Source organism: Homo sapiens, chromosome 3 (assembly GCF_000001405.40).
Source record: "Homo sapiens chromosome 3, GRCh38.p14 Primary Assembly".
In the NCBI taxonomy this organism is placed as follows: domain Eukaryota; kingdom Metazoa; phylum Chordata; class Mammalia; order Primates; family Hominidae; genus Homo; species Homo sapiens.
This window is the reverse complement of record NC_000003.12, coordinates 196,972,476-196,989,417: the sequence shown is the minus strand read 5'-3', so window position 1 is coordinate 196,989,417 and position 16,942 is coordinate 196,972,476. Positions and strand designations below refer to the sequence as shown.

At 46.9% G+C, this 16,942-nt stretch overlaps 1 pseudogene, besides 1 other annotated feature; it reads left to right on the top strand.

Annotated features, from left to right (window-relative positions):
* Positions 1–1,781: 1,781 nt before the first annotated feature.
* LOC124909480 (40S ribosomal protein SA-like) lies at positions 1,782–5,529 on the top strand (annotated as a pseudogene).
* Positions 7,586–7,645: an enhancer, noted in NCBI's record as "active region_21106". NCBI's record gives its function as "activates an Ori minimal core promoter by ATAC-STARR-seq in GM12878 lymphoblastoid cells {active_cell/tissue: GM12878}" and the evidence as "EXISTENCE:reporter gene assay evidence [ECO:0000049][PMID:35858748]".

The following is a 16,942-nucleotide window of genomic DNA, read 5'->3' as shown; positions in this document are numbered from 1 at the left end:
GCAGCACTATCCCAGCCCCGAGGCGTGCCCTGACCCTCTGCTTAACTTCCCCTGGTGAAGAGGTGAAGGAGCAGGTATAGATGAGTCTCACCCGCAGCTAGACGGGCTCAGAGTTCTCTCTGGTGCTAGTTTTGGTACACGTGGGAGGGAGAAGAAGCTGGCTTTCCCAATACCAGGCTCTGGGCACCAGGCTTAGTGCCACCGGGGCGTGCTCATGCCCGACCCCACCTCTCTCACTCTACTTTCTCTCCTCCTTTCCTCCCTCTCCAGCTCCAGCTGCTGCTGGTTCCTAGAACCCAGACCACCCATCGGGGGCTGGAAAGGAAGCCAAATGGCCCCAGCATTTCCCAGGAATGTTACATTTTGACAATCAATTACCCACTTTAGGTGTGACCTCCTCTTCTCCCTCCCAGCTCCCCGCAGGGGAGCTATTAGAATTATCCCCATTCTACAGGACTGGGAAATGAGGCTGTGAGAGTGAGGAACTGAGGAACTTGCTGGGATTTGAACAAAGGCAAAGTCAGCCCCAAAGGGTGGTGGTGGCAAGTCTCCACCAGGCCAGGCTGGGAAGCCTGTGCTGCCACAGGCCTGACTGGACTGCCTGCCTGCAGTCTCCAGGACATTGGAACCAAAGTCCAGGTGCAATTGCCTTTATCGCGTCTGCTGCAGTTCTCCACAATCATCTCAAGGACACCGGCCAGTTGGCCCCCAGGAGCAGGAGGCTGGTCAGCGTTTGTCAGAGCAGGGCTCATCACTGATAACAAAAGTGCTGGCCACGCCAGTGCTGGAGGCAGGCTGGGGACTGTGCTTATCTTTGAGAGGACAGAATTCCACAGCAAAACTTTTCAGCCTGCAGTGGCTGCTCATCTGAGCCTTCATCAGGGTGTGAGGTCCCGTCCTCCTCTTGCTGGGGGTAACCTAGAGCAGAGAGCTGTTCTGCCTAAAGACCTGCCCTGCCATTAGCCCTCCTGGCTGAAGGCTCCTTCGCCCTGCAGCAGAGCATGGGTATGGCTAGGAAGGAGTGACTTGTAGGGAAAAATAGCGCCACCTGCCCCAGATACTAAGGCGTGGAGAATGGTGTAACATACTCCAAACACACGGGCAGGTCCCCATGTGGATGTGACGGATGTGTGTACACAAGGGCAAGCATGTACACCCCTGTTTCCAGGCCTGGCCCCCTGCAGAAAGACGGAGGAGGTGGATCCTGCTCAGCAGAGGACAACAGGATCTGCCCTCACCCAGGAGAGTCTCAGGACTCCAAACGCATGAGGCCTCACTCTATTCCTGTTTCATTTCCATCAGAGGCTAAGAACTTATTAACAGCCAGGCTTCCTTTCTTTCCACTCCAACTTCAGGTTCCTTCTGAGACTTCACAAAGGAGAGGGGTGGGGACTGCTTTGAAATGCATCTGCTTTGCTTAGTCTCTTCTTAGGCAACTTTTAAAAATTGTGATAAAATACACCATTTTCACCATTGTAAGTGTACAGTTCTGTGGCATTGACACTGTTGTGCAGCCATCACCCACCACCCATCTCCAGAACCCTTTTATCCCCAACTGAAACTCTGACCCATTAAACACAAACTCCCCATTTCCCCAGCCCGTCAGCTCCTGGCAACCACCATTCTACTTCCTGCCTTTATGAACTTGATCATTTTAGGCACTTCATATTAAGTGGGATATACATACTGTATTTGTCCTTTAGTGACTGGTTATTCTCCTTGAAACTCAGGCTTCAAGTTTCATCTACGTTGTAGCATGTATCAGAATTTCCTTCCTTTTGCCTTTCCATGCTACCTGCAGAGGGTTCCATCCGGCATTGTTCTGGATTCTCACTGTAATTTAAAGGGAAATTTTCACAGTGTCCGGAGCCCTTGATGTCCTGCAAATGAAGAAAGAGGATGTCCTTAAGTTCCTTGCAGCAGGAACCCAGTTAGGTGGCAGCAATCTTGACTTCCAGGTGGAACAGTATGTCTATAAAAGGAAAAGTGATGGCATCTACATCATAAATCTGACGAGGACCTGGAAGAAGCTTCTGCTGGCAGCTCGTGCCATTGTTGCCATTGAAAACGCTGCTGCTGTCAGTGTTATATCCTCCAGGAATACTGGCCAGAGGGTCGTGCTGAAGTTTGCTGCTGCCACCGGAGCCACTCCAATCGCTGGCCCCTTCACTCCTGGAACCTTCACTAACCAGATCCAGGCAGCCTTCTGGGAGCCACGGCTTCTTGTGGTTACTGACCCCAGGGCTGACCAGCAGCCTCTCAGAACGGAGGCATCTTATGTTAACCTACCCACCATTGCTCTGTAACACAGATTCTCCTCTGTGCTATGTGGACTTTGCCATCCCATGCAACCAGGGAGCTCGCTCAGTGGGTTTGATGTGGTGGATGCTGGCTCGGGAAGCTCTGTGCATGCGTGGCAGCATTTCCCGTGAACACCCCTGGGAGGTCATGCCTGATCTCTACTTCTACAGAGATCCTGAAGAGATTGAAAAAGAGCAGGCTGCTGCTGAAAACACTGTGACCAAGGAGGAATTTCAGGGTGAATGGACTGCTCCAGCTCCTGAGTTCACTGCTACTCAGCCTGAGGTTGCAGACTGGCCTGACGGCGTGCAGGTGCCCTCTGTGCCTATTCAGCAGCTCCCTACTGAAGACTGGAGCACTCAGCCTGCCACGGAAGACTGGTCTGCAGCTCCCACTGCTCAGGCCACTGAAGGGGTAGGAGCAACCACTGAATGGTCCTAAGCTGTTCTCGCACAGGCTCTTACGCAACATGGAAATAAGGTTGATGGAAAATAATCAGTTTCTAAAAAAAAAAAAAAAAAATTCCTTCCTTTTTAAGGCTGTATAATATTCCTATATATAATATATTATATGTAGATATATAATATATAATATGTTGTATAATATATTATTATATATAACATAAATAATATAAAAATAATATTTTATATACTATGTAAATATTTCTACATATTATATTATATATAGGAATATTATACAGGGTTAAAATATTATAGATTATATAAACAGGTAATATATAATATTCCTATGTATATAATATATAGATTTTGTTTATGCATTCATCTGTCAATGGGGACTTGGGTTCCTTCCATCTTTTCAGTGCTGCTATGGGCATGAGTATACACATCTCTGTTTGAGTTCCTGCTTTCAAGTCCTTGTCTATATACTCAGAAGTGGGATTGCTGCATCCTGTGGAAAGTCCATGTTCAATCTGGGGGGAGTCATCATACTGTTTTCCACAGTAGTGGCGCCATTTGACATTCCTACCAACAGGGCACAAGAGTTCCCATTTCTTCACATCCTCACTAACATTTATTTTCTTTTTTATAATAGTCAACCTAATGGGTGTGAAGTGGTATTTCGTTGTGGTTTGGATTTGCATTTCCTTAATGATTAATGACGTTGAGCGTCTTGTCATGTACTTACTGGCCATTTGAATATCTTCTTTGGAGAAATGTCTATCCAAGTTCTTAGGTAACTTTATATTTTTAAAAAACTCCTTGATGCCCTGAAGGTTGTCATTCGGGACTGTTTCTCTCTGAGATTTCCTGTGGCCCATCCCTGTGCTTCGCTTGCTCCCAACACAGATGTTCCTCTGGGAACAGGAGGCAAGATGGGAAAGGGAGCTGGAAAGACAAACATCACCCAGCCTTGGGACCAGCCTGGAGAACTTTGCTCTTGGGGATTTCAAGCTTGTTGCTTGAGAAATCCAGAAACTCAAGCTAAGCTGTGGCCAGTATGCCATGCTTCCCCCAAGACAGAGAGGCCAGCTTTGAGGGGACTTTGTCTGGGCTGGGAGGGCCACTGACACCGCGCTCCTGGCAGGAAGGTGCAGCCCCTGCCTCCAGACCTGTCTTCGGGCCCCAGCTTGTGATTTTCTAGGGAGAAGCTGCTGCCTGCTGGCCACATGACACCTACGGTCACACGCACAGGCCTTTCTGCTGATAGGAAAGATTGTAATCACGTCTGTAACTGGAAGGTGTGTACAGGGCTGGGCTCATCTTCCACCTCAGTTCAGAGTTTATTGCCAGCACCAGCCTCAAGGCCCTTCTCCTGTTTCATTCCTCTTCCCCACTTCATCTCTGGGCCCAATTCCTGTCCCCACCTCCCCCTCACCCCACCACGGCCATCCATTGCAATGCGTCTGATGTGTATCCTTGCATCGTTGTCAAACGCATGTTTGTGTGTGTGTGTGTCTTTAACATACCCTGTCCTGTGCTAATAAATTGCATTCTCTTTCTCACTCTATTGTTCACTTAACACTACGTTTTAAAAACCATTCATACTTTAGTATGTGTTTCTAATTCATAGAGGATTCCATCCTGGCTTCCATATCTGGGAGATAGACAAACAGGTACCACTCTGTGGCCCAGGCTGGCGTGCAGTGGCGCCATCTCGGCTCACTGCAACCTCCGCATCCTGCGCTCAAGCGATTCTCGTGCCTCAGCCTCCTGAGTAGCTGGGATTACAGGCGCCCACCCCCATGCCCAGCTAATTTTTTGTTATTTTTAGTAGAGTCTTGGTTTCTCCATGTTGGCCAGGCTGTTCTCAAACTTCTGACCTCAGGTGATCCACCCGCCTCAGCCTCCCAAAGTGTTGGGATTACAGGCGTGAGCCAACGCGCCCGTCCCCGATCCACCTTTACTCTTAAGGTATGAACTAAATTAATCTAATCATCTATGCCTTCGCTTGCTTTTTCTATTGAACTATCTCTTCCTGAGAAGGTGGCTTCAAGACCTCCAACTACAATTGTTGGGCTGTTTCTTCCTACAGTTCTGCCAGCTGTTGCTTCAGAGTTTTTTCAAGACTATTGTTTTGCATGTGTGTGCGTGTGTGTGTGTTTGTGCATTTTATCATATGCTATATCTCTCTTTGATAATATGATGGTTTTACCTTCAATTATATTTTTTAGCTGTTAATATCACTACTCTTTCTTGGTTCATATTTACCTGCTATATCATTTATCTGTCTGTTTCTTTTCAGTCTTTCTCTATCCTTTTAAGTATATTCCTCACAGTTCTCAGTATCAAGACTAAGAGTTTCTGCCTAGATATTTTCTGCCTTTTTATTTAGCTACTGACATTTTATTTATAGTTATTATTCATACTGTTACTTTAGGACTTATTTGTATCTTATTTTATATATCCTATTTACCATATGTTTTGTTAACTTTTTTCCCTTTCCTTCTGCTGGTTTGAAAGTGTGTTTTAGAACCCTGTGAAATGCACCACTGAAGAGAAGGCTCTTAGGAGTCATGGTGACTGAGAACATCACAGTATCCTGGCTGGGGTCCTGGAACAGAATTGGGCATTCGTGAAAAAACTGGAGAAATCCAAATAAAGACTTCAGTTCAGTTAGTAATGTTATATCAATGTTAATTTCTTAGTTTTGGTAAATATATTGTGGATACATAAGATGTTAACATGAAAGAAATCTGTACTACCCATACTACCTTTACAATTCTCCCACAAATCTAAAGTTATTTCCAAATAAAAATTTTAAGATACATCTATGTTTAAAAAGTACATGTATGCATGTATGTATGAGCAGGCAACAAGAGATTATCAGGAATGAACAGATAGCTTTTAAAAACTTTTGAAATGAAACATACAAATCTTAAAATACCAATTAGGGAATTGGGAGTTAACAAGCTACCAAAGTTGCAACCCTGAAAGACAAATAGAAGAAAAACATAAAGGAAGCACAAGTGAGGATGTGTGTGTGTGAAGATGCACATGTATGTGTAGCCAGGTCCTCAAAAATGTAGAACAGAGAGGATGAGGGAAATAAAATATTCACAGAGATAATGGCCATGACATCTTCAGAACTCGTGAAAAACATATCAGAAGTCTAGGAACAAAAATGCATCCCAAGTAGGATAAGTAAAAATAAATCCTTACCTAGACACATCTCAGTGAAAATGAAAATGCAAAAGACAAAGGTAAGATCTTAAAGACAACCAGAGTGAAAGGGCAAGTCACCCATAAAGGTTAACAGTTAGAAAGACAGCCAACTTCTCAGCAGACACAACAGAAGTCAGAAGATAGTGAATACAGTCTTGCAAATGTTGACAGAAAATAACTGTCAACTTGGAATGATGAACCCTGCAAGACTATCTTTCAAGATTGAGGGTGGCAAAAATGGGGAGTTTGTCATCAAGAAAGTTGAACTAATGAAAGAAAAAAATTGATCTCAGAAGAGCAATCTAAGATACAGGATAAAAAGAATGCTGAGTAAATGGAAATAATGTATATAAATTCTAATATTGTCTTTTAAAATTATTGTAATTGTATTTATAGATATCATCAAATTGCTCTACTCAGAGGCTTTCCAGTTTATAGTCACCAGCAACATAAGAAAGTACCCATTTCCCCATCTCTCTGATAGTGTGATTTTTACTAAACCAAGAGTTGAAAATGGTATTTCAGCTGGGCATGGTGGCTCATGCCTGCAATCCTGGCACTTTGGGAGGCCAAGGTGGGTGGATCGCTTGAGCACAGGAGTTTGAGACCAGCCTGGGCAACATGGCGAAACCCCATCTCCACGAAAAAAAAATTTAAAAAATGGCCAGGCATTGTGGTGTGCACCTGTAGCCCCAGCTACTCCGGAGACTGAGGTAGGAGGATCACTTGAGCCCAGGAGGCCGAGGCTGCAGAGAATCAAGATTGTGCCAGTGCATTCCAGCCTGGGCAACGGAGCAAGATCCTGTTTCTAAAATATATATATATAAATAAAAATTAGCATGTGATATGTCTTTCTATATATTTAAATTATCTTTTGTATCTCTTAGAATTTGAAAGTTTAATTCATAAATATGTTTCAAGTATCTCATTAAGTTTGTTCCAAATTGTTTCATTTTGTGTCATCATTGTTGCTTTTGTTGTTGTTGTTTTTGTAAATGGACTTAAATGAACTTTCTTCCATTAGTTTTTCTATTAATAACTAGTTGTTCTTTACTTATGTAAAGTCTACAGTTTCTGAATATTAATATCAAACTAGACACTTTACAGAATTATTCAGTAAATTTACTGAATTTAATTTTACTGAATTATTGTAACACTTTCTTAATAGATTTTATTTATTTATTTATTTATTTTTATTTTTATTTCGAGATGGAGTCTCGCTCTGCCGCCAGGCTGGAGTGCAGTGGCGCGATCTCGGCCCACTGCAATCTCCGCCTCCCGGGTTCAAGCGATTCTCCTGCCTCAGCCTCCTGAGTAGCTGGGATTACAGGCACCTGCCACCACGCCTGGCTAATTTTTGTATTTTTAGTAAAGACGGGGTTTCACCACGTTGGCCAGGCTGGTTACGAACTCCTGACCTCAAGCAACCCACCCACCTCGGCCTCCCAAAGTGTTGGGATTAGAAGCACGAGCCACCGTGCCCGGCTAGATTTTATTTTTTTAGAGCAACTTTAGGTTCACAGCAAAACTACGTGGAAAGTACAGAGATTTCCCACATGCCCCCAAACCCTCGCCACACATACCACCTCCCCCACCATCCTGCACCAGAGTGGTACATTTGTTACGGCCGATGAACCTATGTTGACACGTCGTTGTCAACCAAAGTCCACAGTTCACGTTAGGGTTTACTCTTGGTGTTGCCCGTTCTATGGGTTGAGACGTGTCCTGACATCTACCACTGTGGTATCATATAGGATAGTTTCACTTCTCTGAAAATCCTGTGGGCCCTACCTATTCATCCTCTCTCCCACAACCCCTGACAACCACTGATCTTTTTAATGTCTCCATAGTTTTGCTTTTTCCAGAATGTCATATAGTTGGAATCACATAGTATATAACCTTTTCAGATGGGCTTTTTTCACTTTAGTAATACGTGTTTAAGATTCCTCTATGTCTTTTCACAGCTTGACAGCTTATTTCTTTTTAGTGCTGAGTAATATTCCACAGTCTGAGTGTACCAGAGTTCATGCATTCACCTGTTGAAGAACAGCTTGGTTGCTACCAAGTTTTGGCAATTATGGTTAAAGTTGCTGTAAACATTCATGTACAGGCTTTCTTTTTTGAGACAGAGTTTCGCTCTGTCACCCAGGCTGGAGTGCAGTGGCGCAATCTCGGCTCACCGCAAGCTCTGCCTCCCAGGTTCACGCCATTCTCCTGCCTCAGCCTCCCAAGTAGCTGGGACTACAGGCGCCTGCCACCACGCCCGGCTAATTTTTTGTATTTTTAGTAGAGATGGGGTTTCACCATGTTAGCCAGGATGGTCTCGATCTCCTGACCTCGTGATCCGCCTGCCTCGGCCTCCCAAAGTGCTGGGATTACAGGCGTGAGCCACCACGCCTGGCCTCATATAAGGCTTTTGTGCAGACCTGAGTTTTCAGTTCATTTGGATAAATATCAAGGAGCTCGACTGCTGGATTGTGTGGTAAGAGCATGTTTAGTTTTCTAAGGAACTGCCAACTCTCTTCCAAACTGGCTGTATACCATTTTGCATTCCCACCAACAATGAATGGCCCTTCCTATTTCTTTTCATCCTCACCAGCATTTGGTGTGTAATTTCTGAATAAAATCCTTTGTGTTTTCCAAGTATACAGTTATTTTGATCTGAAAATAATAATTTTTCCTCCATTCTGATTTCTCTATCTCTATATTCTACCTCTTGTCAAATTATATTGGCTAACACATCCAGAAAAATATTAAGTAATAGCTGTAAAAATGGATAAACCTCTTTTGTTCTTGACTTCAAGTTTGGGAGAACTTTTATTGTGTCCCCATTAAGTATGATGCTGGCTTTTATACTGAGATAAGTATATTGTTTCGTATTAAGAAAATATACCTGTTCCTATTTTATTAAGAGTGTTTACCAAAAATAAACTGTTGAATTTTTCAGTATCTGTGGGGATTATCACATCATTTTTCTCTTTTATATGCTAAATATTAATATGATCAATCACATTGATAGATTTCATAATATTAAACCATTCTTAAATTTCTGGAAGGTAACCTTTTTAGAAAAAAATCTCCTTAGGTCTGGCACGGTGGCTCACACCTGTAATCCCAGCACGAGTCAGGCGTATCACTTGAGGCCAGAAGTTCAAGACCAGCCTGGCCAACGTGGTGAAACCCGTCTCTACTAAAAATACAAAAATTAGTTGGGCGCAGTGGCGCATTCCTGTAATCCCAGCTACTCGGGAGGCTGAGGCAGGAGAATCGCTTAAACCACGGAGGAAGAAGTTGCAGTGAGCCAAGACTGTGCCACTGCACTCCAGCCTGGGCAACAGAGTGAGACTCCGTCTCAAAAAGAAAAGAAAAGAAAAGAAAAGAAAAGGAAATTCCTTAAATTCATAAAAACAACGAAACTTATATGTGCCCTTATCTCTGAAGAGAATGTTAAATAAATGCACAAATAAGAAAAAGCTGCTCATGAAGTGCTCCTGTGTTTTTGGCACCCCAAGTTCCTCCACATACGGAAAACCCTGGGACCTTCTGGCTAGAAAGACACAGGCAAAGAGCCCACGGGGACCTCCCTGCGAACGCAGAGCTTTGCTTAGCTTCAGTTCAGCCCAGGGACTGTCTGAGGACCCGCCTCAGGCCCGGAGCTGTAGGGCTTGGGGCCCCCTCCAGCCTCCAGGTGACTCAACACCACGATTAGACTCACTAGGCAATTCTGGGAATGATCTGAGATCTTTCTAATGTTTCTCAACTTCTTTCACAATGCTGGAGGCCCAAAGCCAGCCCTGCGCTCCTGAGAAAGGAGACACAAGGAGCAGAAGGTCAGGGTCAGCGGGGCATGGCGAGTCTTTTGAGTTTCTTGGGAAATGCTTCCCGGGCTCAGCAAATACAAAATGGGAGCCTTCTGCTTCTACAAATCAAACTCCTGTGATTGCCCCCTCTGACCTCAATTCTTTTTTTTTCTTTTTTTTTTTTTTTGAGACAGAGTCTCACTCTGTCGCCCAGGCTGGAGTGCAATGGTGCAATCTGGGTTCACTGCAACCTCCGCCTCCCGGGTTCAAGCGATTCTCCTGCCTCAGCCTCCCGAGTAGCTGGGACTACACGTGCACGCCATCATGCCCGGCTAATTGTTGAATTTTTGTAGAGACGGGGTTTCACCATGTTGGCCAGGCTGCTCTTGAATTCCTAACCTCAGGTGATCCATCTCCCTCGGCCTCCCAAAGTGCTGGGATGACAGGCGTGAGCCTCCGCACCCAGCCCCTCGATTCTAATGCTCTCTTTCTAGCCCTCTCTTCCCAGCTCGGATGGGCCCTTGGCCCCAGGTCTCCAGTGGCAAGTCCGGGCGGGCTCCGGGGCCATAGACTCAGCCTGGCCTCCCAGATCCCGGGCAGCTTGGGCTGCGCAGAGAATCCAAAAGGCTTCCAAGGAGGTGAGTCCGTGGAATGTGTTCGTGATTCGCTGAGATGAAGCCGAAGGGAAACAGCCCAGGGCAGGGACACCGCAAGCATTAGGTAGAACCACATGACATTGCAGATAATTTGCTGTTTTTGACCTACGACAAACCAGCATTATCATACTGTTCACCCAAACCCCAAGGCCGCCTTTGAGAGCGCGATAATCACAGAACCAATTCTGCGGAGCCACCCAGTGGTCAGAAGAAGAAAACAGGGCTTGATTCTTAAACGATGCTGACGATGATGATGCCGACAGGGACAGGGTAAGTGACGCTTCCGGAGCCTCCATGACGTGCTGGGAATAGAAGTTTCACACAAGTGATTATTTAATGTTACTGTGTTTGTCGCAACAATCAAGTATACTTATATAATACAAACAGCTCTCCTGAGTCAGCAGGTAGGTAATATTATTATTCCCATTTTAGAGGTGAGAAAGATGAGGCTCAGGGGATTCAGCAAGCGGCGCAAAATCACACAGACAAGGGAGGCAGACCCAGGTTTGAGCTCAGAGCCTGGCTCAGAATCATGTTCTTCACATGCAGGTTCCCTTTCCACGTTAGGGAGAAGGTGAGGCTCCCAAGCCAGAGATCCGAACTCTGGGAAGTCCCCAGGCAAGACTGACCTAGGTGCACACACCTGAACTTCTCAGCACTTCACATCACAGCAGAACAGAAGATGAGCCGGGTGTGGTGGCTCACGCCTGTAATCCCAGCACTTTGGGTGGCAAAGACGGGCAGATCGCTAGAGCCCAGGAGTTCCAGACCAGCTTGGGCAACACGGTGAGACCCCATCTCTACAAAAAATACAAAAATTAGCCGGGAGTGGTGGCGCTTGCCTGTAGTCCCAGCTACTCAGAAGGCTGAGGTGGGAGGATAGCTTGAGCCTGGGAGGTCGAGGCTGCAGTGACCTGAGATCGTGCCACTGCACTCTAGCCTGGGTGACACAGCAAGACCCTGTCTCAAAAACAAAAACCAAAACCCAAAGAACAGAGGATGTTAGTGGAACCATTACAGCAGGATATTAAAGTAATAGTTTCAGTCCCGGCACGGCGACTCACGCCTGTAATCCCAGCACTTTGGGAGGCCGAGGCAGGTGGATCACCTGAGGTCAGGAGTTTGAGACCAGCCTGACCAATATGGTGAAACCTTGTCTCTACTAAAAATACAAAAATCAGCCAGACACCAGTTACTTGGGAGGCTGAGACAGGAGACTTGCTTGAACCTGGGAGGCAGAGGTTGCAGTGAGCCAAGATTGTGCCACTGCACTCCAGCCTGGGTGACGGAGTGAGACTCCATCTCAACAATAAATGAATAAATAAATAAAGTAATAGTTTCAAAAACTGCATTAAAGGAAGTTCATTAAAATAAAAAGGAAAACTGTGTGCTACACAGAACATTGATCAAGTAATTAATCGTTGGCTTTGTGAAATTCATTCTGGAAAATTATCTAAAAATTAATCAGTATTTGTATAATTTGGATTCACTGTTTTGATTCAAATCTTCTTGAAAGATAAAAATATCCTTCAAATCCTTTGAATGGCAAAGTCCAAACATTACCATTCCATGCTGCCATGAAACACAGTAGGCGGGGTAGAGGCTGGGAGGAAAAAGGCTGCTTGCCAGTCAGGCTGAGGAAATGGCAAAGCAGGCAGGATGCGTCCTCCCCCAGGGCTCCTAATATGGGCTCTGGGCAGCGGACTCCCCATGAATGCAGAGTCAGAAGGGAGCCACAATGGCCAGTCTCTGCAGATGTCCCATGAGCTGACACCATGGGACTATCGGCACCATCGTGGCCTGAGAGGGTCGGGGCTATATCAGGTGTCTTACCCCCAAGACCTTGAGCTGTGTGGCTTCCCAGAGATCACGGGTCATACGACAGATGCGGAAGCCGAGGCACCTGGAGAGGAATCAGCTGACTTGGGGTTACACATCTAGTGGGTGGCAGAGCCAGGACTGTTACCCAGGCTCTGACTTCCCGTCCAGATCCTTCCAACTCCTCACCGAGGTCAGAAGCGCTGCTGCTCTAACTGACCTGTAACTTGGTGAGTTAGGAAAACCACAGGAAGGCCAGACCAGGACTTCAGCTGTTCCTGAGCCTGGTTCTGCCTGGGAACTTTGTGCCACTCCATGCGGGCCTGGGGCAGAGAAAGAGCGAGACAAAGATGCTTACAGCATGGGCTCTGCACCCATCCTCCAGCTTCCTACAGTGTCTTGGTACCCTTTGGGTGCTCAGTCGTGCTTACCAATGGTGACAATGAGGACAAGGAAGAGGAAAGGTGAGAGGGGACAAAGGAAGGGGAGAGGACTTGATGACAGGGAGAAGCGGGGCTGGACTATTTGAGGGAAGATGACAGTGAGGCTGACCCAGAGAAGGCCTTAGAGTTACTCAATTACATCTCAGACTAAGGAAAGGCTCTTATATTCGGGGCTGTTTCTCATTTTAAGTTTTGTGGGCCGGGCATGGTGGCTCACGCCTGTAATCCCAGCACTTTGGGAGGCCAAGGTGGGCAGGATTACTTGAGGTCAGGAGTTTGAGACCAGCCTGGCCAACATGGTGAAACCCCATCTCCACTAAAAATACAAAAATCAGCCGGGCGTGGTGGTGGGCGCCTGTAATCCCAGCTACTCGGGAGGCTGAGGCAGGAGAGTCGCTTGAACCTGGGAGGCGGAAGTTGCAGTGAGCCGAGATCGCACCACTGCACTCCAGCCTGGGTGACAGAGTGAGACTCTATCTCAAAAAAAACAAAACAAAAAAAAAAGTTTTGTGTATCTATCCTAACTTTTACAATTGTGCACATATATTACTTTGGTTAAAAATGTAAATTAAAGGAGAAAAGACTTCGATCAAACACAAGAACCTAAAGGGTGACAAAGCGTTGCTGTGGCAGCTAGAGAGGTATAGATCCCTGGCAGGCAGGGGCCTGAGGGGAGGCAGATAGCTAGCACCTGCCAGCTGGGCCAGAGAAAAGAAGGGGCCTTTTCCCTTCTTGCCCCAGCAGGGTTCCACAGTAATATTATTTTGTCCCATGGATCAACCACTGTCCTCATCAGAGGCTCTTAACCTTTGTGGGGTCATGGGCCCTGGGAAATCAGAAACCCTATTTGCCCCAGGAAAAACAGTGTACATGTATGCATACCCATAAAACTGTCTGTATAACTCCCTGGGTTTACAAGCTCCTGGTTAACCCCTGCTCCATGTGCTGATGTCCAACCAGACTGTTTTCCCAGTCCACCTTCCCTTCTGAGCTTTAAACCCACACATTCAACTTTCCTCTGCATGGAAATCTCCCAACAGTACCTCAAAGTGTCAAGTAGTTAAAACCAAATTTAAACTCCCCCTAAATCTGCTCCACCCCCTGTGCTCCCTGTGTCGGGACTGGAACTATCACCCACCCATTTGCCAAGTATGAGATCTGCTGTCAACTTGGAGCAGTGGTTCTCAATGCTGGCTGTACATCAGAAGCCACCGTGGAGGCCTGTAAAACACGGAGGCCTGGGCCTCCCTGCTGGCCCTCAGACACAGAGCCTCTGGCAGGAAGTCCAGCATGATCAGTCTGAAAGAAGGCTGAGAACCACTCCCCCAGACAGAACATCTTTCTGTCAGTCTCACTCCAAAACAGTCACCAAGTCCTGTGGCTTCTACCTACTGAATTCCACGGCATTTATTTAGAATAGGTCATTCTCCAGCATGATACGAAAGTCAACTCTTAAAACAAGGTAGACCAAGCATGGTGGCTCATGCCTATAATCCCAGCACTTTGGGAGGCCAAGGCAGGAGGGTTGCTTCAGGCCAAGAGTTTGAGACCAGCCTGGGCAACTTAGTGAGACTCCACCTCTAACTAAAAGAGAAAACAAAAAGAATAATCAGAGGAAATTTCCCTTCCTATCATCACCTCCCAGTTACTGGCCAGCCTGCCTCCATTTTAACCTCCTTCAGTCCTTCCTCCTCAGCCGGAGTCAATGTTCCAAACTGCCAGAGTCTGGCTGTGTTATTTCCCTGCCTAAGCCTCTCGGTGGCCCCTCATCACTCCCAGGAAAAAGTGCATGCTCCTTAGCAAAGCACATGAGGTCCCCGCCCCACCCCAATCTGGGTCCTGCCTACTTCTAGCTCTACGTCTTCCCCACACCCCGCTATACCTACACAATCCACAAAAACACAACTCTAAGCTACCAACAGACCCTCTGCCTGGATTCCTTTGTTGCCCCTCTGGGAAGGCTTCCTGGACTAGACCTGGCTGGATTAATTGGGTGCCCCCTTCTCAAGGCACCCAGAGCACCTCCTGCTTATCTCCAGCACTGGATTAACCACAGGTGATTTTTGACAAAGGTGTCAAGGTAAAGATAGCTTTCTCGACAAATGGTACTAGAAAAGTGGATATCTAGATCTATATCTAAAAATGAGCCTTGGCCGGGCACGGTGGCTCACGCCTGTAATCTCAGCACTTTGGGAGGCCAAGGCCAGTGGATCACTTGAGGCCAGGAGTTCGAGACCAGCCTGGCCAACATGTTGAAACCCTGTCTCTACTAAAAATACAAAAGTTAGCTAGGTGTTGTGGCGGGTGCCTGTAATCCCAGCTACTCAGGAGGCTGAGGCAGGAGAATCACTTGAACCCAGGAGGCGGAGGTTGCAGTGAGCCGAGATCATGCAACTGCACTCCAGCCTGGGCAACAGAGCGAGACTCCATCTTTTTTTTTTTTTTTTTTTTAATTGATCATTCTTGGGTGTTTCTCGCAGAGGGGGATTTGGCAGGGTCACAGGACAATAGTGGAGGGAAGGTCAGCAGATAAACAAGTGAACAAAGGTCTCTGGTTTTCCTAGGCAGAGGGCCCTGCGGCCTTCCGCAGTGTTTGTGTCCCTGGGTACTTGAGATTAGGGAGTGGTGATGACTCTTAACGAGCATGCTGCCTTCAAGCATCTGTTTAACAAAGCACATCTTGCCCCGCCCTTAATCCATTTAACCCTGAGTGGACACAGCACATGTTTCAGAGAGCACAGGGCTGGGGGCAAGGTCATAGATCAACAGCATCCCAAGGCAGAAGAATTTTTCTTAGTACAGAACAAAATGAAAAGTCTCCCATGTCTACCTCTTTCTACACAGACACGGCAACCATCCGATTTCTCAATCTTTTCCCCACCTTTCCCCCTTTTCTATTCCACAAAACCGCCATTGTCATCATGGCCCGTTCTCAATGAGCTGTTGGGCACACCTCCCAGACGGGGCGGCGGGGCGGAGGCGCTCCCCACATCTCAGACGTTGGGCGGCCGGGCAGAGACGCTCCTCACTTCCTAGATGGGATGGCGGCCGGGAAGAGGCGCTCCTCACTTTCCAGACTGGGCAGCCAGGCAGAGGGGCTCCTCACATCCCAGACGATGGGCGGCCAGGCAGAGACGCTCCTCACTTCCCAGACGGGGTGGCGGCCGGGCAGAGGCTGCAATCTCGGCTCTTTGGGAGGCCAAGGCAGGCGGCTGGGAGGTGGAGGTTGTAGTGAGCCGAGATCACGCCACTGCACTCCAGCCTGGGCACCATTGAGCACTGAGTGAACGAGACTCCGTCTGCAATCCCGGCACCTCGGGAGGCCGAGGCTGGCGGATCACTCGCGGTTAGGGGCTGGAGACCAGCCCGGCCAACACAGCGAAACCCCGTCTCCACCAAAAAAATACGAAAACCAGTCAGGCGTGGCGGCGCGCACCTGCAATCGCAGGCACTCGGCAGGCTGAGGCAGGAGAATCAGGCAGCAGTACCGTCCAGCTTCAGCTCGGCATCAGAGGGAGACCGTGGGGAGAGGGAGAGGGCGAGGGCGAGGGCGAGGGCGAGGGCGAGGGAGAGGGAGACAATGAGACTCCATCTTAAATAAATAAATAAATAAATAAATAAATAAGACCCTTGATTCTTACCTCACACCACCCATAAAGTTAGTTTGAGTGTATCATAGACCTAAACAAAAAGCCAAAACTATACAATTCTAGAAGAAAATATAGGAGAAAATATTTGCAACCTTACCTTAAGGTAGGCAATCAAGGAAAATGTTTAATAAATTGGACGCTGTCACAATTAGAAACTTTGGCTCTTTGAAAGATAACATTAGGAAAATGAAAAAACAGGTGGGTGTGGTGGCTCACACCTGTATTCCCAGCATTTTGGGAAGCTGAGGCAGTAGGATCACTTGAGCCCAGGAGTTCAAGACCAGCCTGGGCAACATAGCGAGATCTCATCTCTACTAAAGATAAAAAATTGAAATAAAAATAATTAGCCAGGCATAGTGGCGTGTGCCTATCATCCCAGCTACTCAGAAGGCTGAGGTGGGAGGATCACTTGAGCCCAGGAGTTCGAGATTGCATTTAGCTACAATTATACCACTGCACTGCAGCCTGGGAGACAGCATGAGACCCTGTCTCATGGAAAAAAAGAAAATGAAAAGACAAACCATAGAATGCTATGGGCTCTCATGCATTGCTGGTGGTAATGTCAAATAGTATGACCACTTTGAAAAACAATTTCTTACCATGCTGCCAGGCGCAGTGGCTCAAACCTGTAATCCCAGCACTTTGGGAGGC